The sequence below is a fragment of the Homo sapiens genome, chromosome 12, assembly GCF_000001405.40.
Source record: "Homo sapiens chromosome 12, GRCh38.p14 Primary Assembly".
In the NCBI taxonomy this organism is placed as follows: Eukaryota; Metazoa; Chordata; class Mammalia; order Primates; family Hominidae; genus Homo; species Homo sapiens.
In genome coordinates, this window is record NC_000012.12 from 132,641,410 (window position 1) to 132,664,649 (window position 23,240).

General features: G+C 49.3%; 1 protein-coding gene across 7 annotated transcripts in view; it reads right to left on the reverse strand.

Moving 5' to 3' along the window:
• Positions 1-23,240, reverse strand: part of POLE (DNA polymerase epsilon, catalytic subunit) — a 63,581-nt gene that overhangs the window by 17,648 nt on the left and 22,693 nt on the right. For 5 of the 7 annotated variants that reach the window (NM_006231.4, XM_011534795.4, XM_011534797.4 and 2 more), the window contains 18 exons: positions 22,961-23,053; positions 22,595-22,739; positions 20,118-20,275; positions 19,560-19,755; positions 17,886-18,100; positions 16,459-16,561; positions 15,940-16,020; positions 15,727-15,849; positions 8,268-8,480; positions 7,897-8,106; positions 7,520-7,663; positions 2,428-2,568; positions 1,998-2,151; positions 1,815-1,921; positions 1,411-1,587; positions 1,097-1,320; positions 768-988; positions 238-442 (listed from right to left, as the gene is read on the reverse strand). In NM_006231.4, coding sequence (NP_006222.2) covers positions 238-442; positions 768-988; positions 1,097-1,320; positions 1,411-1,587; positions 1,815-1,921; positions 1,998-2,151; positions 2,428-2,568; positions 7,520-7,663; positions 7,897-8,106; positions 8,268-8,480; positions 15,727-15,849; positions 15,940-16,020; positions 16,459-16,561; positions 17,886-18,100; positions 19,560-19,755; positions 20,118-20,275; positions 22,595-22,739; positions 22,961-23,053 — 2,910 coding nt within the window. The other 2 variants (XM_011534802.4, XR_941395.3) reach the window with 2 other exon arrangements.

A 23,240-nucleotide genomic window follows, 5' to 3' on the forward strand; every position in this document is an offset into this window, starting at 1 on the left:
ACCTCTGGCCACAGGGAGGTCAGAGGCAGCACACTGAACAGTCGCCAGGGACCAGGCCGGACCCCCACAGTGGTAAAGACAATAGACTATGGAAAACTCGCCACACAGTGGTCTCTGGCTCTGCCATTAAGACTAAGGGAAGCCCAATGGACCCTGTCTTAGACCTTAGCTTTCCAAATTAAGGGCAAAGGATAAGACCCTTCTATTAGTAACACTCCTTCCCAGAGAGGGTGGCACCTGAAGGTGTTAGAGCACAGGGCTGTCTCATCGTAGCTGGCCGGGGCACTGGCAGCCTGACCACCCGTGATCATGTCCTCCAGGGAGGCCTGCTGGATCACGTCGAAGCTGATCCCCATGCTGTCGGCCCCCTCCATGTCGTTGACATGGTGAGACTGGAGAATGGTGTTGACGGCCAGGTTCTGAAGGTCCAGCTCCACACACACTGCACAGGAAGACGCCATGCTCAGCCAGCATCCTGCCAGCTCCAGCACCACCAGCCCCCTGGGCCTGACTCCAGCCACCACCACCTCCAGAACCAGCAACAGACCTGCCCACACCCATCCTCACACCTGCCAGGCTATTCAGATTCCCGAGGGCACAGGAGGCCCCACCTGGACCTTGACCCCAGGACCGTCTCCTGCAGCCTCAGCTCTGACCTGCGCGGTCGAACTCTGAGCCCATCCTCGGCACTATTGCCTTGAGAAGATGTCACAGAATGGCAGAAACACCAGCCAGGTCTCATGGGCCTCGTCCTCCCGCCCACTTACCTGTGGAGTAACAGCCTGAACTGTTGATCTCAACAGTGGCTTGGTCATCGAACTCCATGACAAGACAGTTGTCATCAGCCTCCTTTCCACCCAGGTCAGGGCGGGCTGTAGGGGACAGCCAGAGCAGGTGGTTGTGGCGCTGGAGGTGGCGGGCAAAGAAGAGGTCGGAGCCGAATGTGGAGATGTCCTCTGGTAGGTTCCCAATGGGAATGTGAAAGTACCTGCACCAGGGCACAGGTCAGCACCGGGGCACATCGCCGGGTCACAGAGACCACCGAGGCCGGCTCTGCCTGGGGACCACTGGCCCACAACGACAGTACTGTGCTCACCTGCTCATCTCGAAGGCCTGCGACAGGCAGGTGTCCAGGTTGAGGTAGTGACGGATCATGCGCCGGGCTCCATGGCGCTGCCAGTCCAGGACCCCATAGTTGATCTTGTCAGCCACACAGATAGGCACCAGTGGGAATTCCTCCAAGACAGGAATTTCACTGGCCAGCCTCTTCAGCTCCCAGCTGGACTGAACAGCGATGAGTGTGGGCCCCCGGCGCTCCTCCTGGGTCAAGGCAAAATGGAAGAAAAGACCTGGGTGGACCCAGCCTCAAAGAAGATGGGGCTCACACAGCAAGACCCCAACCACTCTCACCTTGTAGGCGAGCAGGAATCGCTGGATGGCTCTGCAGATGGTCTTCAGGTCAGTTTCTGCCCGAACTTCGAAGGTGTGTTTGGGGGGTGGCAGGAGCTCAGGGCCCACCTTCTCCAGGAGGAGGCCGTGCTCTGCTGAGTACAGGGCGCCAAGGCTGGGCATCTGGTTGCTGCGCACCTAGACCAACGCAGGCCACGTCAGCCTCCCCCTGCGCAGGAGGAAGTGGGGGCAGCCCTGGGGCAGACTCCACCACTGCCACGGCACTGCCAATTCAATCACGACAAGCACTCATGGGCAAAGGCCCTTGAGGACAAGACCTGGAGGGCCTGGGCACCCTGGGAGATGTCCTCCTTCCCCAAACCCTGCCCCAGCCAATGTGCTGCCATGGAGGGCCCAGGACTCACAGTGTCCAGCACAAAGACGGATGCCCTGCGCTGTGAGGGGATGAAGATCCCGAAGAGCGCTTTGTGGGCCTGTGCGTGGTGGTACAGGTAGATATGGCGGATACTCCCTGGAGAAGGAAACAAGACCGTCACCCCAGATGTGTGGGAGGCAGGCACATGATGGGCGGCTGGTGCAGGCCATACCTGGTTCCAGGTAGCTGAACTGGGCCAGAGAGCGCATCTCCAGGTGCTCAAGAGCAAAGGTCTCTGCTTCCCAGCCTGAAAGGTGCCTCACCAGCTGTTTATTGACCACACACACACAGCCCAGGTGCACCAGGGCCCGGAACAGTAACGGAACCTGGAAGAATCGGGCAGACAGGCCGGCAAGGGCTGGATGGTGGGGGCTCTGGCTGCCCACGTGACTTCTGCCCGGGATGTGGCTGTGCCCCTGCAGCTGCCCGGCCCACTGCCCAAAGGCCACTTTTGGCAGACACACTGCTGACATTCACCTCACCTGTGGGAACGAGTCCACTGTCGCTGCTGTTCCCCAGCCCACACCCTGGGCGGGTTTCTTTCCTCCATACCACCCTGCTGGAGCCTCCCCCAGTTCAGTCGAGGGTGGCTGGGGAGTCACCTGAGTCTCATATACGCCCTCGATGTCTGGCGCTGACAGCTCAGCGTTGATCTCGTTGATGTGTTCCTGGTACATGTCCTCTGGCACTGAATACTCATAGAGATTGTAGACCATGTTGGAGCGAGGAAGGACCCGATTTACCTGGCGAGAATACGACGATGATCTCGTCACTGGGCGTAAGTGGTAATGTCTGTGGTACACACACAAAGCACACGCTATTCGGAGTCCTAGACTTCTGGTGCCCCTAGCGACGGGGTACACCCACCACGCCACAGTCCACCTCTCTCAATGATTACAACTAAAAACTCTGGATGTAATTTTTATGTTATTTATTTATTTTTTACAGACAGGGTCTTAGTCTGTTGCCCAGGCTGGAGTGCAGCAGTGTGATCACAGCTCACTGCAGCCTCCAACTCCTGGGCTCAAGTGGTCCTCCAGCCTCAGCCTCCTGAGTAGCTGGGACAAGGAACACACCACCACGGATGGCTTTTTTTTTTTTTTTTTTTTTTTGTAGAAAGGAGGTCTCACTATGAGGCCCAGGCTGGTCTCAAACTCCTGGACTCAAGTGATCCTCCCAAATCGCTGGAACTGCAGGTGTGAGCCACTATGCCTGGCCTCTGGACGCAATTTTGAAAAGCAACCTGCAGCCTCTGAGAATAGACAAGAGCTGTCAGAATACAGCAGTCAACACTGATCTGGGGAGGTTCCCAGTTCATCTTCCTCCATTCTCTCATGGGTTTAACCTGAGGGTGTAGATGGCAAAAACTGAGAGAAATCACATTTTCCTAGTCAGAGAAACGGAAAGAGAGCCCCTGGGGGAGCCAGAGTGTGTGTGTGGGGTCCTGGGGGGCTCTGGGAGAGCTGGAGAGGGGCACCCTAGCTTCGTGAATGGGGTCCTGGAGGGGTCTGGGAGAGCTGGAGAGGGGGCACCCTAGCTCCCTGTGTGGGGTCCTGGGGGGGTCTGGGAGAGCTGGAGAGGGGCACCCTAGCTCCCTGTGTGGGGTCCTGGGGGGGTCTGGGAGAGCTGGAGAGGGGGCACCCTAGCTCCCTGTGTGGGGTCCTGGGGGGGTCTGGGAGAGCTGGAGAGGGGCACCCTAGCTTCCTGTGTGGGGTCCTGGGGGGGTCTGGGAGAGCTGGAGAGGGGCACCCTAGCTTCGTGAATGGGGTCCTGGGGGGGCCTGGGAAAGCTGGAGAGGGGGCACCCTAGCTTCCTGTGTGGGGTCCTGGGGGGGTCTGGGAGAGCTGGAGAGGGGCACCCTAGCTCCCTGTGTGGGGTCCTGGGGGGGTCTGGGAGAGCTGGAGAGGGGGCACCCTAGCTTCCTGTGTGGGGTCCTGGGGGGTCTGGGAGAGCTGGAGAGGGTGCACCCTAGCTTCCTGTGTGGGGTCCTGGGGGGTCTGGGAGAGCTGAAGAGGGGGCACCCTAGCTCCCTGTGTGGAGGGCTGGGGGAATTCTGGAGAGGCGAGCTGGAGAGGGGTACCCTAGCTCCCTGTGTGGAGGGCTGGGGGAATCCTGGAGAGGAGAGCTGGAGAGGGGGCACCCTAGCTTCGTGTGTGGGGGGCTGGGGGAATCCTGGAGAGGAGCACCCTAGCTTCATGCATGAACCAGCAGCACAAGTCCCAGGCTCACTACGAGCTGCACTTGCACAGGTGACCCAAAACAACGCAGCAGAGGCTCTGGAGGCTGAGCTGACATTGGAAGCTTTGCACAAAGAGGCAAGGAAGAGCTTGGGCACTGGAATTAACCGTGTTGGTTGTTGCTAAAACAAACAAACAAAAAAACCTGACACGCTAAAGGATTTTTAAAAATACCCAAAGTCTCAAATATGTAAAATGTCCAGGTTGCAATAAAGCGTTATTTGGCGTAACAACAACCAGGAAAATCTGAATAATTCTCAAGCGAGAAGAGAACCAGTAGGGTTAGATTTTTCCAGTAACATGAAATTAGACCGACACACACACACACCCACACACACACACACAAAATCAAAGAAATGAAAAATTATGTTCTGGTAAATATGAACTGGAACAATTAGTGTAATTGCACTTTTTAAAATGTATATATTTCCTGGCTGTTCACTGAAGGAATCTAGATGAAATGATACCCCTTGAGCTCTAAGCTTGGTTTCTCAACATAACCTCTCAACGAGGCTCAGGCTCTTTAGAGGAACAGCTAATTCCACGTCTGGAAGTTCAAGGTGAGCCTGGCCTCTCTTAGTGGCCAAAAAGCAAGGAAGTTTTCAAAGACCAACAGGGCATGTCAAAAGGACTCAGGTGCCAGCTTGAAGGGATCTGGCCAGCCCAATTTGGGATAATTTGAGTCTCAAGAAGATATTGACCACCAAAGAGTCTACTGTCTGGTTCCATTAATATGAAGTTCTAGAAAGTCACATGCACACAGTTACAGAAATACAGAAATCAGGCCAGCAGAAGGTTGCACAGGGGGACAAGAGCACCCTCCCGGGTGATGGAAACGTTCTGCACCTGGGTGGGGGTGTGGGTGACACAGGCATAGTCATGTGTCCAAAAACCCAATCAACTGCACATTTAAAAATCTGCACTTAACTATATGTAAATTACAGTAAGTCCTCACTTAACATCAATGGATTCCTGGAAACTGTGATGGTTAAGTGAAGTAATGTATAGCAGGTCCTCAAATAACATCATTTTGTTCAACATTCTTTCTTCCTTTAAAAAAAAAAAAAAAAAAATTCTGGGGCCGGGCGCCATGGTTCAACCTGTAATCCCAGCACTTTGGGAGGCCGAGGTGGATGGATTACCTGAGGTCAGGAGTTCGAGACCAGCCTAACCAACACAGAGAAACCCCATCTCTACTAAAAAATACAAAATTAGCCGGGCGTGGTGGTGCGTGCCTGTAATCCCAGCTACTTGGGAGGCTGAGGCAGGAGAATTTCTTGAACCCGGGAGGCGGAGGTTGCGGTGAGCCGAGATGCGCCACTGGACTCCAGCCGGGCAACAGGAGAGAAACTCCATCTCAAAACAAACAAACAAACAAATAAAAATAAATAAATTTAAAAAATACTCTGTAGAGAAGGGGTTTTGCCACGTTGCCCAGGCTGGTCTCGAATGCCTGAGCTCAAGCAATCCACCAGCCTCAGCCTCCCAAATTGCTGGGATTACAGATATGCAGCACTGCGCCTGGCCAACACAGTTTCATTATAGTTTCTGAGAAGAAAAAAAATCTGTTTCATTATACATCATCTTACTTAGTCATTTCACTTAAAATTGCAGTTTCTAAGGACCTATCAACAACATAAAGTGAGGGCCTACCGTGTACCTTAACATACCTAACGTGTGTGTGTTGGGCGGGATTTGGCTACGGTTGATGTTAAAACATTAAACACTGAGGCAGGAGGATTGCTTGAGCCCAAGAGTACAAGGCTGCAGTGAGGCAAGATCATGCCACTGCACTCCAGCCTGGGTGATGGAGTGAGAGACCTTCTCAAAAACAGAAACAAAAAAGTTAAACAAAAATCCTCTAATCCATAGTAATACTTTAAAAAGAGAGGAAAAATGAAAGGAATAAACCCATTTTGCCATGCCCTACCTTGAAAATTAAAAATAATTTAAAGGGAAAAAGCATTTATCTTGCTTAAAAAAAAAAAAAGCGTATTATCCCTCTCGTATCTTGCTTTTTAAGGAATAGAGTTCATTTCTACCTGATCTGCACAAAGCTCTTCGTTATAAAGGAAACAGCTAATACACACAGAGGAACAGAATCTGAAGATATCATCCTGGAGCCCCATGGACCCCACGAGACATGGATGCTGACACCATCCAGTCAAACGTTGAGGACAGAATATTCACACAGCGCCAGAACCTCCCTCGAGATGAGCTGATAGTCATAAAGGGAAACATCCCAAAAGTTAGGGCACTTCCACACGGCCACAGCACCACAGCACCACGCATCGAAAGGAAGGTGTAGAAACCCCACAGTCCCACCTGTTCTCTGTGGTCTCGATGCCTCTGCGTCCGCTTTCCTCTTGTTATCCGCCCACCTCGGTCTCCCAAAGTGCGGGGATTACAGGTGTGAACCACCACACCTGGCTCTGCGTCTACTTTCTATATGCACATTCTACTGAATCACCTGGCTGGAATCGAGTTTCACCTTCTCCAGAAAACCTCCTTGTGTAGGTACAAATATGCACACCTCATCTCCCCAACTACGTGTCACTTCTTACGTGATTCACAGCATCCAGTCAAGAAATGTGCTGAGCCGACACATTAACAACGGGGAGTTCGGGTGGAGATGCCATCTAAGAGCCTCAGCGCACTCATGGCCACATGAAAACCCTCGCAGTTTCTGCAGGTGGAAGAAGCCCAGCACAAAGACCCACCTACTGTAGGGTTCCATTTACATCAAATGCCCAAACAGGCAAACCCAGAGACAGGAAGTGGATCAGTGGCTACTGAGGGCTGGGGGAGGATGGTGACAGGTAAGGGATGCCAGGTTTCTTTTTGGAGTGATGAAAATATCCGAATGGGGGGGTGAGGGGAGGGGGAATATCAGGATAAACAGCTAATGCATGTGGGGCCTAATGCCCAGGTGACGGGGTGATGGGTGCAGCAAACCACCATGGCATGTGCTTACTTATGTAACAAACCTGCACTTTCTGCACATGGATCCCAGAAATCAAAGTAAAATTAAAAAAAAGAAAAAAAAAGAAAATGTCACTATTGACTGGCAATAGTCATGCCACTAAAAGTCATTGAATTCTGCACTTTAAATGGGTGAGTTGGATGGCGTAACTTTACATCCCAATAAAGCTGTTAACAACCAAAGAGCCTACGGAGACAGAGTTCACAATCTCTAACCAATGCCACTTGGTTTGTCCCCGCAACATGGACCTCGCGGGCAGACAAGCTCATCGTGACAAGGACACCAGCAGCTCCATTCCCGGCACTCGCTCTGCCCCAGGCTCGGTGCTCAGCGCTCACACACGTTGTTTTGAGGAATTCCTAGAACATCCCCATAAGGTACTGAGGAGATGGAGGCTGGAGGCCAGGCTAGATCATGGGAAAGCCACCTCAGGCTGCCCAGATGACTGCAGAGGCAGCACCAGCTCCTCCCTACCTTGCGATACGAAGCACCCTCCTCCGCTTTAGCGACTCGCTGGTTCACGTAGAACACACGGGGGATGCTCAGCCTGATGCAGTGCAAGTCACTGCCAACGAGCGCCCACAGCCTGAACAGGCCGGCCTGGCTGGTCTCGCTGATCTGAAAGGCCACACGGACATACAGCACATCACAGGACACACTGGAACCCACAGACGGGGCCACCTTCCAGGTAGCTTGCAGCTCCCAGCACAGGGCCTTAGGCCTCCCTACGATGGGCAGGAAACTCCAGGCCCACTCTAACCCTCCCATCCCAGACCTCAGGGCCCAGCTGGACACCCCCTCCCTGGGCCATCAGCAGAGCCACTGCCCTCCCCTTGGATCAAGGTCTATACCTGCACAATCTGCCACGGAAGGTCCAGGATGCTGCGGGCAGTTCTTCGCAAGAAGCTCCCCAGCCCCGTGGCAGGACCATCCCGGATGGCCCCGGGCCTGAGCACACCCTCTGCCGACTCCAGACGCTGCCTCTTCCTGCGGGCGAGGCGCTGCCGGGCCTGCAGCTGCCACTTCTTCTTGTGGAACCGGAGCCAGACAAGCCATTCCTCCTGGGATGGATGGTGAGCACAGCCAGTGTGCAAGTGGTGAGATGGGAATGCCCGCCATGACTTTCTCACAAGCAGCCTCCCTAGGGGTCAGGACGCATCTCGGGCTCCCTGGGCTGTGCAGACCCCTCAGAGACAGACAGTATCACAGCTGTGTGCCTTACCTGGCTGGTTCCCAGGGCGGGAGGCTGCCCCAAGATTTCCTGCCAGGGCACAGTCGGCGTGAGGTCCTGGGACTCCTCCTGGCTCTCCCAAAGAACTCGCTTCCTCTTCACAGTGACAGGGGCTGCTGGGTGAGGCAGCTTTACGAGGCCGAAGTCCTCCATGTCAGGAGCACTTGGCCTCGGACTGTCTTCTGAGGCCTCGGCCATCGTGACCTGGAAAGACCCAGTGAAGCCTTAAATCTCAGGATCTCGGGCTGCGCAGGGTGGCTCATGCCTGGAATGCCAGCACTTTGGGAGGCCAAGACAGGAGAATTGCTTGGGGCCAGGAGTTTGAGACCAGCCTGGGTAACAGCAAGACCCTGTCTCTACAAAATATATTACAAATTAGCCAGGCGTGGTAGTGCGCCTGTAGTCCCAAGCTACTTGGTAGGCTGAGGCAGGAGGATCACTTGAACCCAGGAGTTGGAGGCTGCGGCGAACTATGATCACACCACTGAACTCCAGCCTGGGCAAGTGAGACCTTGCCTCATAAAAACAAGCAAACAAAAATCTCAGGATCTCATCCCCACAAATTCTACTTCTCGAAATCTAGTATAAGTATATCACCTGAAATGGGATGTTCGTTTACACAAGTTTATTGAACCTTTAATAGTGAAGGCCGGGTGTGGTGGCTCACGCCTGTCATCCCAGCACTTTGAGAGGCTGAGGTGGGCGGATCACTTGAGCCCAGGAGTTTGAGACTAGCCTGGCCAACATGGTGAAACTCCGTCTCTACAAAAAATAGAAAAATTAGCTGGGTGTGGTTGTGTGGGCCTGTGGTCCCAGCTACTTGGGAGGCTGAGGTGGAAGGATCACTTGAGCCTAGGAGGTAGGGGTTGCAGTGAGCCAAGGTTGCGCCACTGCATTCCAGCCTGGGCGAGAGGGTGAGACCCTCTTTCAAAAAAAAAGTGAAAAGATCAAACCGAAAAATAAAACGTCACTCAATACCACCAATAAGTAAATCTTTGCATTTTGCCATGTTTGCTCCAGAATGCTTTTTGTAAGAAAGAAAATATTGCAAATAATGGGTACAGCCCTCTTCTGTCTGCCCCCACACACCTTTAAATTTTTACCACATGTCCACAGACACATGCCACAGCTGTAAGTTTTAACCTAAATAGTAACATGTGGGACACATCTGACTGCAACTTGTTTCCTTTTTTTTTTTTTTTTTTTTTGAGACAGAATCTCACTCTGTTGTCCAGGCTGGAGCGCAATGGCACGATCTCATCTCACTGCAACCTCGCCTCCTGGGTTCAAGCAATTCTGCCTCAGCCTCCCAAGAAGCTAGGATTACAGGCACCTGCCACCAAGCCCGGCTAATTTTTTGTTGTATTTTTAGTAAAGATGGGGTTTCACCATGTTGGCCAGGCTGGTCTCGAACTCCTGACCTCAAGTGATCCACCCACCTCAGCCTTCCAAAGTGTTGAGATTACAGGCGTGAGCCACATGCCTGTCCCTGCAACTTGTTTCTTTATTCAGCCATGTATTTTTGAGACTGACACCGGGTGAAACATGCACATATGGTTCGTTCATTGTAACTGATGTGAAATGATTTATCATATAAACACATCAGCCTACCTACCCATGACTTTGCAAATGAAGAATGACAAGCGCCTACTTTTTCAAAACTACAAACTGTGACTCAATGACCATCTCTGTATGTGTTGCCTGGTCCCGGAGAACAACCACCTCCACCTCTAGCACCAGGGATTTCCTACTTCCCACAATCTTGCTACTTGATGCCACCACACTTACTTGCCTTCAGTGTGACCTGCTATCTAAATACATCATGCTGCATTTACCTCATCAACAGTAAGGCTGAACATCTTGGCCCTGTGCAGGCAGCTCCCAAAATGGCCCAACGACCCCCACTTCCTGGTGTTCACACCCTGTGTGACTCCTTCCCTGAGTGGGGGTGGGACCCGGTGACTTGCCCGTAATGAACAGATTCCAGCAAAAGTCATGGAATGCCACTCCTGAGAGCAGCTATAAAACACTGTGGCTTCTGCCTGGCTGGCACTCTCTCAAAAGTCCAGTGCCATGCTGTGAGCTGTCCTGTGAAGAGCCCCATGGAGCAGGGGACTAAGGATAACGTCCAGACAAAGGCCAAGGAGGAACCGAGTCCTGCCATCCCCATGGGAGGGAGCTCGGAAGTGGCTCCTTCTCCAGTGGAGCCCTCGGATACACGAGTGCATTTAAGTTGCTAAGTTTTGGGGTTACTTGCTATGCAGCAATAGATAGCTAACACGTTTATGAGCCATTTCTAACTTTTATACATTCTAAACATCTTCAAAATGTGACTCAGGCCTTTGTTTCATGGTGACTTCTGTGCTACATGTAAGTTTGTGTGTGTTGACTTCCTATCAGGAAAGTTTTCAAACATACACGAAAGCACAGTAATGAGCTCCCATGTTCTTATCACCAGTGTCAACAATTATCAACATTCTGCCTTTCTTGTCACAGACTACACAAGATTTAACTTTTAATTAATTGATCATTCTTTCCCTTTGTGATGTTTTTCACATGTGCCTTAAAAAAGCCCTTCCCACCCCAGCATCATAGTCTCCTGAGTTGTTTACCAAAGATTGTAGTTTCCTTTTTTTTTTTTTTTTTTTTTTTAAAGACACAGGGGTCTCGCTCTGTCACCTAGGCTGGAGTGCAGTGGTCATCTTGGCTCACCGCAGCCTCAACCTCCCAGGCTCAAGTGATCCTCCCACCTCAGCCTCCCAAGTAGCTGGGACTACAGGCATGCACAACCATGCCTAATGTTGTGCCGGATTTTTTTTGTAGAGACGAGACCTCCCTATGTTGCCCAGGCTCGTCTGGAACTTCTGGGCTCAACTGATCCTCCTTCCTTGGACTCCCAAAGCACTGCAATTACAGGCATGAGCCATCACACTCAGCCTTAGTTTCACACTCAGTGTGATACAACAACTTACTTCTCCAAATATGAAAAACCATTTTCACCAGCATCACTCACTGCAGTCCACTCTCTCCTTAACGATCTGTGACCTACCAACTTCCGACTAACAGGGGAGTCTGTTTCTAGGCTCCCAATCGGCTCTACTGCTCTCCTCTCATCTTGTCAAGATGCCATGATAGTGTGTCTCGTTACATAGTAAGATCAACGTGCCCTCCTTATTCTTCAAAATTCTTTGGTTATTCTTATCCTTACCCTTTATATGAATTTTAGGATTCGTCTGTCAAGTTCTATCCAAAAAGCTTTTGGCAGATTCTTTTTTATTGGAATTACACTGAATTTTATGAATTAATATGGGGCAAACTGCCATATTTTAATACTGAGTCCTTTCATCTGTAAAGATGGTACCTCTTTTTGTTACTTAGGTAAATTTTTATATGTTCAATAAAGTTGTGTATAGGCCAGGCATGGTGGCTCACACCTGTAATCCCAGTGCTTTGGGGGGGGCCCAGGCAGGAGGATCACTTGAGCCCAAGAGTTTAAGATCAGCCTGGGCAACAGTGAGACCCAGCCTCTACAAAAAATACATAGCCAGGTGTGGTGGTGCACACTTGCAGTCTCAGCTACTCAGGAGGCTGAGGTGGGAGGATAACGTGAGATTAAGAGTTCTAGGCTGTAGGGAGCCATGATCTTGCCACCGCACTCTAGCCTGGGTGACAAAGGAAGACCATGTCTCAAAAAGAAAAAAGTTGTGTAATTTTTTCTGTAAAAGTCTTACACACATTGTTACCATGAATTTATTCCTTAGTACATTATTTATTGCTATTGTAAATGGTATCTTTCAAAAAATATTTTGTTTCTAGTATAAATGAAAGCAATAGACTTTTATATCTTACCTTGGTATCTAATTGTTGCTGAAATACATATAAGTTAACACAAAATCTAGGTTTCCTTACATTTTCTGTTAACAAATTACATCGCCTGTAAATAATAAGTTGATGTCTCCCTTTTCAATCCTTAATTCTTTTTCTGGTTTAATTATGCTGGCTAGGATCTCCAAACTGTTTTGAACAGAAGCAGTGGTTAACAGGCATCCATTTCTTACTCCTTACTTCAATGCTTCCAGTGTTTTGTGGTTAAGTATGAGGTCTGCTGTTAGGTTTCAAGAACACTTTATCAGGTTAAGAAACATCTCATCTATTCTGATTTTGATTGTTCAAACTTTAACATGAGCAGATGTTAAAGTTTTACCGCATGTTGTTTCTGCATCTATTGGAGATGATCTTACGAGCCTTCTCCTTTAATGATGAATTAGTGGATTTCTCCCAAGAAAAACTAACCTGGCAAATTCTAAAATTAAACAGTGCTTGCTATTCCCAGCATAAGTCCTAGTTGGTCATATTGTTATTGTTCATGTATGTTGATATTTTTTCATCTATTGTTCATGGCCCGTAACTTTCCTTTCCTGTTTTCAATTATGTTACCAAAGTAACAAGGATTGCCAAGGTTACCAAATGAGCTAAGGGTTTTTTTTTTCCTTTTTCTCTTAAAAATCATTTGGGTTTGATGTTTCTTTTACACTTATTTTTTTTCGTCTCTTTTTTTTTTCTTTTTGTGGAGAACGGGGTCTCGCTATATTGCCCAGGCAGGTCTCGAACTCCTGGGCTCAAGCTATCCTCCCGCCTCTGCCTCCCTGAGAGCTGGGATTACAGGTGTGAGCCACTGCGCCTGGCCTGTTTCTTTTTAAGTGTCAATTTCTGTAATGGTTAAAGTTCTATTCAGGTTTTTATTACTTCTTAGGTCAGTGCATAACTTGAGGATACTGTCCGTTCCATCTATGTTTTCCAACTGTTTAGCAGAAAATGGGAATCCTTCCATTTTTTTAGGCTTTACTATATCTATAATGATGTCTGTTTTCATTAAAATAAAAAACTCTGTCCTGAAAAAGATGTGACCAGCCAGGACAACATGACAAAACCTTGTCTCTACAAAAAATTACAAAAATTAGCTGGATGTGGTGGTGTGCGCCTATAGTCCCAGCTATGCAGGAGGCTGAGGCAGGTGGATCAATTGAGCCTGGGAGGTCAAGGCTGCAGTGAGCCATGACTGCGCCACTGTACTCCAGCCTGGGTGACACAATGAGACCCTGTCTCAAAAGAAAAGAAAAAGATGTGACTATTTTCCTAAGTCTTTTCAAAGAACAACATTTTGGTTGTATTGTTTGTTTCACTCATTCTGGCTCAATTTTGTAACCTCTTTCTTTTCTTTCTTGAGTTGGGTTCTCCCTGTGTTGCCCAGGCTGGGGTGAAGTGCCTATTCACAGGTGCCATCATAGCCCACTACAACCTCAAATTCCTGGGCTCAAGCAATCCTCCTGCCTCTCAGCCTTCCGAGTAGCTAGGACTATAGGTGTGCACCACCATGCCTGGTTACCTTTATAACTCTTTATAACTTCTGTCTACTTCCTCTGATGGATCTGTTGTTCTCTAACTTTTTCAGTTGGAAACTTAATTTTCTATTTGTTTTTCTTTACTAATACATGCATTTAGATATATAAATGCGTATACAAGTCCTGTTTAACTGCATACTACAAATTTTAATAGCATTTGTATTTACATTCAGTTCCAAGTATTGTCTAAGTTCTATGACTTTTTTGATCCACAAGTTATAAATGTGTTTTTTTTTTCTTAAATTTCCAAACATGGTCTGTATTTAAGTTATCTAGAATTGGTTGCAGCTTACTCTGTGGTATATATATGGTCATTATTTTATGTATTCTTGAAAAGGATAGGTATTCTCTAATTTTAGTGCAAGACTACATTTGTTCACTAAATGTATTATAGCTAGTGACTAAATCTAGTTAGTTGATTGTGTCATTCCAAACATATTTTTGCTGATTTTTGGTCTGCTCCAACTATCAATTGAGGGAGGGATGTTAACATCTCCCAAACTGATTGGAGGTAAATTCTTCTTATAATTAGGTAAATGTTTACATTATTTAATGTGAGGCTACATTGTTACAATTAGTATATATTTCCAGAGAATTGTGACTTTCAGTATTATGTAACAATAGTCCTTATGTTTCCTAATACTTTTGGCCTAAAGAGTATTTTGTCTGGTATTAATACAGCCACATCAGCTTTCTTTTGGTTAACATTTACCTGGTATACGTATTTTTTACTCCTTTTGCTTTTCCTGCGTCCTATCTTTTCAATATAACTCTTGAAATTGTTATACTGGCCCATAAGCCACTGGGCGCAGTGCTGTATTTCCAGCACTTTGCGAGGCCAAGGCGGGTGCATTCACCTGAGGTCAGGAGTTTGAGACCAGCCTGGCCAACATGGTGAAACCCCGTCTCTACTAAAAATTTAAAAAAAAAATTAAAAAAATAAAAATTAGCTAGGCATGGTGGTGCGTGCCTATAATCCCAGCTACACTAGAGGCTGAGGCAGAAAAAAATTAAAAAAATAAAAATTAGCTAGGCATGGTGGTGTGTGCCTATAATCCCAGCTACACTAGAGGCTGAGGCAGGAGAACTGCTTAAACCCAGGAGGCAGAAGCTGCAGTGAGCCAAACCCAGGAGGCAGAAGCTGCATTGTGCCACTGCACTCCTGCCTGGGCAATAGAGCAAGACTCCGTCTTGGGGGGCAGGGGAAAGAATACATATATAACTCTTACAAATAAGACAGTTAAATTTTAAAATCCAATCCATCTCAGAACCTTTTTCTTTTTTTTTTTTTGAGACGGAGTCTCGCTCTGTCGCCCAGGGGAGTGCAGTGGCGTGATCTCGGCTCACTGCAAGCTCCGCCTCCCGGGTTCACGCTGTTCTCCTGCCTCAGCCTCCCGAGTAGCTAGGACTACAGGCGCCCACCACTACGCCTGGCTAATTTTTTGTATTTTTAGTAGAGATGGGGTTTCACTGTGTTAGCCAGGATTGTCTCCATCTCCTGACCTTGTGGTCTGCCCACCTAGGCCTCCCAAAGTGCTGGGATTACAGGTGTGAGCCACCGCACCTGGTCAAAGAACCTTGTTCTTGTCATGTGAGTTTGTATACTGCTCTGATTTATAGCTTACTTTTAATTTTCAGCATTTAAGAATTTTCCTTTTGCTCTTCTGACTTTCACTGTACCTTTTATTACACTGTGTCCTGTGTTTCTAAGTGTTTCCATAGGGAAGATATTCATTTCACATTCAGAAAACTGGGGCTTCAAGAGACAGTGATTTGCCCAAGGCACTGAGTCTAAGTAGTGCACCCTAATATTTTCACATAAGGAGACAGTTCCTTGCCCTCACCTCAGCCTCACAATGGTGTCCTATTAACAAAAGAGTGACACTCAGAGTTAGAGAGTAAAGTGCCAATGGGCACATTTTCAGAAAAAGTCCATTTTCGATGCTTGAACAGAAGCTTCACTACAGCACACACAGCAGCGCAAGAAGCCTGGAGTCCTGTGTGTCACAAGGATCCCGCCCAGCCCAGCCTTGGGGCCCCACCGTCACCTGTCTCCTGCCCTCCAGGGTGAAGAGCTCACTGATCTTCTTCTGCTTGTAGACATCATTCTTCTCCAGCAGTTTTTTGTGCAGCCAGTCGGGGTGTTTGACACGTGGCACTGGGTTCTTTACCTGTGTGAGGCCAACACCCATCAGAGAGAGACCCTTGTCTAACTGCACAGTTTTTAGCCCCACAGCCCGTGCCACTGACCCCGCCCTTACCTGCTGCAGGGCCGCAGGGATGGTGATGATCTTCTGGATGGCGCTTCCCAGCCGCTCAATGTAGTAGTCCCAATCCAGAATCTGCATGTGCAGGAAACGGGCACAGAGAACAGCAGGTGGCAGCAGCCAAGAGTGGGGCTCACTTCATGCTGAGCACAGGGCTAACCACTGTGTCTTATTTAATCCTCTCAGAAACTCTATGATGAAAGGTGCCCATTGCACAACAGAGGACACCAAGGCAGGGAGCTTCACTGACTCCTCTAGATCACAGAGCTAGTAGGTGGCTGAGCCAACACCCCTGGCCTTAGTCCATCCAATAGAACAGCTAAAGGGCCCCAGGCACTTCATGTTTTCAGTTTTGCCCTAAAAGGTTATTAGGTGCTCACCTATTACTTATCAGAAAGGAGGAAGTCAAGAGTGAAGACGCCAGACAAAAAACATAATCCAACTCAGACATATTCTGCTCTGTCTAGCTTTCCTTGTAAACTTTTAAGAGTAGAGAACGCAACTGGCACTCACTGCTCGAATATCAAAGTCTTGAAGGGAAGAGCTCTTGAGCCATTTCCGGAGAAAGTGCTTCCTCACCGTGGGCTCTGCTTGGAAAATGGCAAGTGGGATGGCCCTGGGTAAGGAAGACAGGCACACAGCTCAGTAACAGTGAAAATCACCCAAAATCTGATCCTAACTCTTATCAAATGAACATGGAAATAAGGACGTGTAACAGCTGTTCACAAACATCAATGTATACATCTGCGTGCATATGTATGCACAAACATGCCTACAGGTTCCTCGGGGAGTAACACGTGCGTATGTGTAAACACGTGCGTGTGTGCACGTAAACATGTCTACATGTTCCTCACAGCGTAACCATGGGCATGCATATACATAAACACATGCGTGTGCGTAGACATGTCTGCGTTTCTCATTGAGTAACCACGTGCATGCGTACAGGCAAACACGTGCATGTTCGTAACTATGTCTACATGTTTCTCACGGCATAACCATGTGCATGCACATACATAAACGCATGCGTGCGTAAACATGTCTACGTTTCTGAGTAACCACGCGCATGCGTATAGGCAAAGACATGCGTGTGTGCGTAAACATGTCTGCGTTTCTGAGTAACCACGTGCATGCATACAGGCAAACGTGCACGTTCATAACCATGTCTACATGTTCCTTGCTGAGTAACACACAGAAGACTCAGGCTGCTTTCTAGAAAAAACGAGCCTGTTTTCATGTCACTAGCAAAGCAACTGGCAACCGTCAGTGCTTCCCTTTCACTGGAGGAAACATCTGTGGTGAATACTGCAAACATAAGGAGACCTAAAGAAGACACGCACACTATGATCCACTCGGCTCCATCAAGCTTCAACACTTGGCCACTCTGACTTCCTTTGTGAGACGATTAGAGTGAAGCCCTGTGTGACCCCAACCTATTCCCTCCTCACACAGAAGTAAAGACAACCCTTATTCTGGTGTTCATCAACCCCATGCAGGCATTTGTACTGGTCCTATTTGTATATAACCACCAAAAAAAAAAAAAAAAAAAAAAAAAAAGAGCAGTTTCCATGTTTTTAAGTTTTACATACACGGAGGCATAAGGGTCTTCCTTCAACCTGATTTTTGCTTTTTTCTCCAAAGTGGTTTCAAACTGTCAGTGTTGTAACCTGTAGCTGCAATTCAACCCTTTGAACTCTGGTATAGTGTATCTCATTCCCTACAAAATGGCAATTATCCATTTCTGGTTGATGGACACTTATGCCATCCCCAAACTTGGTGTTAAACACAGCCCAAATCTGTAAGGAACCCCTTACCTCTCCGTGACAGGGCAGCCCTCACCTCTCTGTGATGAGGGGAGCCCTCACCTCTCCGTGACGGAGGGAGCCCTCACCTGTCCGTGATGGGAGGAGCCCTCACCTCTCCGTGATGGGGGGAGCCCTCACCTCTCCGTGACAGGGGAGCCCTCGGGCTTGCGGGAGATGATGTAGCGGCAACTCAGCCCTGCATCCTTGACCATCTGGTCTCCCAGGAACTCGGCCAGGCGCTTTGCTGTGCTGATGGACGTAGACTTCTGCTCCCCGTAATCTTCCAGCTTCCGAGACATGGAACGGTTCTCAGAGATGAGCTCGAATAGCTCAGAGTCAGGCATGTTGGCTGCCTAGAGAAAGACAATGGGTAAAACACTGCAGAAATCAAGGGGCAGAGTCTGAGCTCACCCTGGACTGTGCTCCTCTAGGCCATGCCCTTCTCTAGCCTGAGACGCAGAAGGCTGCAATTTCAAGAGCTCTCTAATATGCCTGTGTGGCAATACTTTAAAACATACACACACACACAAAACTTTAGCTTTTATATTTTTTTTGAGACAGAGTCTCATTCTGTCACCCAGGCTGGAGTGCAGTGGTGCAATCTCAACTCACTAAAACCTCCCCTCCTGGGTTCAAGAGATTCTCGTGCCTCAGCCTCCCAAGTAGCTGAGATTACAGGCACATGCCATCACATCCAGCTAATTTTTGTATTTTTAGTAGAGAAAGGGTTTTGCCATGTTGGCCAGGCTGGTTTCCAACTCCTGACCTCAAGTGGTCTGCCCGCCGAGGCCTCCCAAGTGCTGGGATTACAGGCGTGAGCCACCACGCCTGGCTTGGCTTTTATTTTATTAAACTGTGCACAAAATATCAAGAAGAATTTACTGAAGAGCACCAAGGCTGCAGAAAAGGATGTTGCTCGGCCTAAGACAGGAAGTTTTTCTCCTTGAAAGGAAGAGAAAGAAGGGGCAGGAAGAGCCAGAAGAGAGGAAAGAGAAACTCCGGCCGGCTGGAGAGTGGCCTGAGCAGTGGAGGCCTGAGCAGTTCCAGTGTGGCACCCACATCCAGCTGGAGCTGTGCTTTGCACACATGTTCCTGACCACAGGCCCCCCACATCCTGTAAGGAGTGCTGGGCTCATGAATATTCTGTGTGATACCCTGGTGCTCCCTTGCTCGTGTGTTTCACTCTATACAAGACAATATGCCAAGAAACAGAAGCCCACACAGCAAAGCAAGCCAGGAAAGCACTGCAGAGTGTTCCAGTATTCCTTCTACCCAAGACGCCTGTGCCTGGGAAACATATGCACCGAGATATCTCGTTCAATGCAACACCATTGATAACAATGGAAATGTGAAACCTATCTGGTAGTAAATAATCGTGGGCTAGTTACGTAAATTAAGGTATGTAAACTGTCAAAATGTTATGTAGCCTGAAAAATATAAAAAATACAAAGTAACATAGAAATAAACAAATATCCCAGGCTGGAGTGCAGTGGTGCAGTCACGGCTCACTGTGGCCTCTACTTCCTGGTCTCAAGTGATCCTCCCAAGTAGCTGGGACCACAGGCACGCATCACCATGCCAGGCTTATCACGCTATTTAGAAAAACGTTTCCCTCAGAGTTGTGTCCCTGGATGCAGAAGTTGAGGGGAACTCCAAGGGGGTAATTGTGCTCAGGAGGTCTTGGGATTTCATTAGGACTGGCCCTGTGTTCTTCGGTCACCTTGGTCTCCAGGAGCCCAGGAAGCACGGGGTCCCCTTCTTGCTTCATCCTTCATCCCTCAGAGCAGGTGAGGGTGGAGGGTAGGCCTTTACCTTGCTGTACAGCACGTCCAGCCAGTAGTCAGCCACCTTGGCTACAGAGCCATACACCTCTTCCAGCGTGCTGCCCTTGAGGAAGGCCTCAAACACCGAGGATTGGAAGATCTTAATCAGCTGCAGTTCCCCGCGGCGTTTGACCTCAAAGCCCTTGAGCTCAGCCAGAGAACCGTCTTCATTGAACACAGCATACCTGAAAAAAAAAAAAAAGGCAAGCACAGCAGTGGCAAGGAGCGCTGGGGAGCCACCAGCTGTGCCTCATCCTCTCTGCCCGCCTCTTCCCTTTCCAACCCTCCACCTGTCATCCACGAGGCAGCAAACGTCTCTCTCCCTTAGGCCACTGCTTCTCTAAAAGGAAAATGGCTGAAGGGCCTGCAGCCACAGAGCCAGAATACAGCAGGCGGGCAGACAGAGCTGGTGCAAACGGAATCAGTAAGATCACAAGAACCCAGGTCTGTTTCTATCCTGGCTCCTGATCCAACCTCCTTTCTGGGCTAAATTTAATCTATCTCAATCCATGTCCTTTCTAAAGCACAAAAGCTATGAGAGTCCCACCTCTTCTTCAATTTCTTGCCTTCTTCCTTGGAGGCTGGAAGAATCATGGCAAGGTAGGGCCCATCAACCTCAAAAAAGATGCTGTTCTCTGAGCGGGTGACGTAGGTGAGTGAGGACGGCTCAGCCAGCTCCTGGTACTGGTCATTGGTGAAGCCTTCCTGAGAAACAAGAGTGAAGAGGGGGCAGCTTCACTCATGATGGCCCAAACCTGGAAACCACCTGGTGTCCCTCCAGGAGTGGATGGATTGACAAACCGAGGCTTTTCCACATAACTAACACGACTTGGCAGCAGGAAGGAAGGAAGTTCTGATGCATGCAACCAAGTGGTGAAACTCAGGTGTATCTGTTAGGTCCAAGAAGCCAGACCCAAAATGCTACAGGCCGTATGCTTCCCTTTACATGACATTTTCGACAAAGCAAAATTATAGTACAAAAAACACATTGTGGGTTGCCAGGGTTTCGGGGTAGGGAGAGGATTTGCTGACAAAGGGGTTGCAGCTGTTTTGTGTTGCTTCGTGGTGCTGGACACACACACTATGCACTTGTCCAAACCCACAGGGCTGTACGCTACAGAGTGAACGTCACTGTGTGCAAATTACAAGCCATCCAGCCATGGTGCTGGGATCCCAAGAGGGGTGCAGACTGGGCCAAATGAGCCCAACAGCACTGTGGACATACAGCAGAACATGCCAACAGGGTGGGGAGGAAGGAGCTGCCCGTGAACTCTGCTGACTGGACAGGGTAAGGCTGAAAACAAAAGTAACTATCTACAAATGCTGTACAGTGGCTGGTGAAATTATTTCTCATGGGACACAAGTCTGTTAGCAATTCTAAAACTACTTTACATGGACTCTAGGATTGAACAAACACATATATTGAGAAATTCGAAACAGGTTTATCACTGAAGGAGAAAGAAGTCACTAATAAGAAAGGGGCAGACTCATGTGTTTAAATGCATCCATGCAGACAGACAGACACAGAAATAAACAGTTCTGTGTGCGTGCGTTACTAGAGACATACTTCCTGGCTGCCTCCACTATGAGAGACTGGAAGCTATGACACTCCCAGGAACAGTGAGCACAGCAAGCACCCCATCTCGGGTTTTTACATCATTCTTCTCGGAGAACTGGCTGACTCCAGGTTGGAGCAGGGAAAATACAAGATGAGGCTGGTGGACCTTACAGTACCAAGAAGTAGGAAAGTGCTCCAGAAACAAAGACCAGAAGAGGGCGTGTCCCAAGAACACGCCACAAACTAGGAGGCCCCAGTGGCCCAAGGGGAACACGTGGAGCAGGAAGCCACTCCGGTCCTATGAACAATAACCCTGGGATGTCCACTCTGATCCGCAAATCCACACTGATGTCAATAAGCAGACAAATAAACGAGAACAAATGGAAGAGAAGGATAGCAACGCTTCCCTACAGGATCCCAATTGATACAGTAGAAGGAATGAAGGAAACAGACAATCGCCAGAGAAAAACCACGACAGGAAACCTCAGGCGTAACTGCTGCAGGTGCGGCCCACCAGCAAACACAGCCCATCAGCAACGCTAACACAGTGGGCAGAAGCTTATGGAGCAGCTGTGGATACACTGTCTCGAAGCACCTGCTCCACGATATCTATTTGCTGCTGTGATGGCTCTAATACAGGTCCAGAAACTCTGACAGCCCTCCTCCAGGGACGCTTATATCCTCCCCACTGGGTGTGTATTTACGACTGAAGAGCCGTATGGGAGGGGGCACAGGAGCGCCACAGTAAGGCCTGCAGAAGCCCCTCAGGCAGGAGACTAAGCCGTCCCCACAACACACCCACACTCCCACACCACCACAAACCAACACGATGCGTGTGAGAACGTGGGGAGGGTGTCGCACCTGTGGAGCTCCTCCAAAAACCCAAATCACCTCAGTCTAGTCACGAGAAACAACAGACAACCCCTGATCAAGGGACAGCCAACCATCGCCTGGCCGGCACCACCAGAGGGGGAGGTCGTGACACGAGGACAGACCGGGACAGGACAACTCGGCGCCACGTGGGTCCTTGCTGGGATCCTGGGAGAGAAGAGGGGCTATGGTGGGAAATGGGAAATCCAGGTGAGGCCTGCAGTGCAGTTACTGGGGCACAGACATAGGTTTCTTAGTTTTGACAAGCGCACCATGGTTTATGCGAGGTCAGCATTAGGGGAAGGCAGGTTGAAGGGGATACAGAAATTCTCTGTACTATTTTTGTAATTTCCTGTAAGTTTAAAATTATTTCAAAATAAAAAGTTAAAAGCAAAAAATTCTGGGAGCTATGCTGAAAGAGAAAGGAGTGGAATCACTTGATACCTCTGACCATGGTCTTCAGGCTATAGAAAAGCAATGTGAGCAGTGCTGGGTGCCAGGAAGGCATGCACACTGTGAGGTGCTGCAGAGCCAGTGACATCAGGGCACTGACGCCAGGCCAGCCAGAGCTTCAGGACCAGAGGCCCCAGACTCACCTTGACCATGATGTTCAACATGGCGCCTGGGTAGGAGATGGTCACTTTGGGCTTCTTCACATTGGTCGTCTTGAAGACAAAATTTTCTGGGAAGCTGTTGGGCAGGACGCACCATATACCATCTGTGTCCAGCTCTAAGGGCCTCCTTCAGAGAAAGAGAGGAGCAAGGTCGTGAGTTCCCCTTTCCTTTTCACCCAGTGTGTGGCCTCCAGCCTTCCCTCCTTCCTTCCTGCCCAGTGTGTGGCCTCCAGCCTTCCCTCCTTCCTTCCTGCCCAGTGTGTGGCCTCCAGCCTTCCCTCCTTCCTTCCTGCCCATGCTTGCCCCCAGGACCTGCTCCCAGCCCCACGGCTCCCCTTCTGCACTCACCCAATCTGCTCGATCAGCTCCCGTGCCTGGGTGATGATGTTGGCCCCTGTGAAGCAGACGATGCCAGCCATCTCCATGGAGTACCAGCGAGCCCTGAGAGGACACCACAAACTGGTGGGTGGGGCTGGCATGGCTCCTCCAGGGGGTATCAGAGGCAGTGAGGAGTAGGGAGGAGGAAAGGAGAGATGCGACAGGGACAAGGGAAGCAGCCAAATGTGCGTGCACCAGGACAGAACTAAGGTGGAATCTGGCTCTGCCCGAGGACACCTCTCTGTCCCCA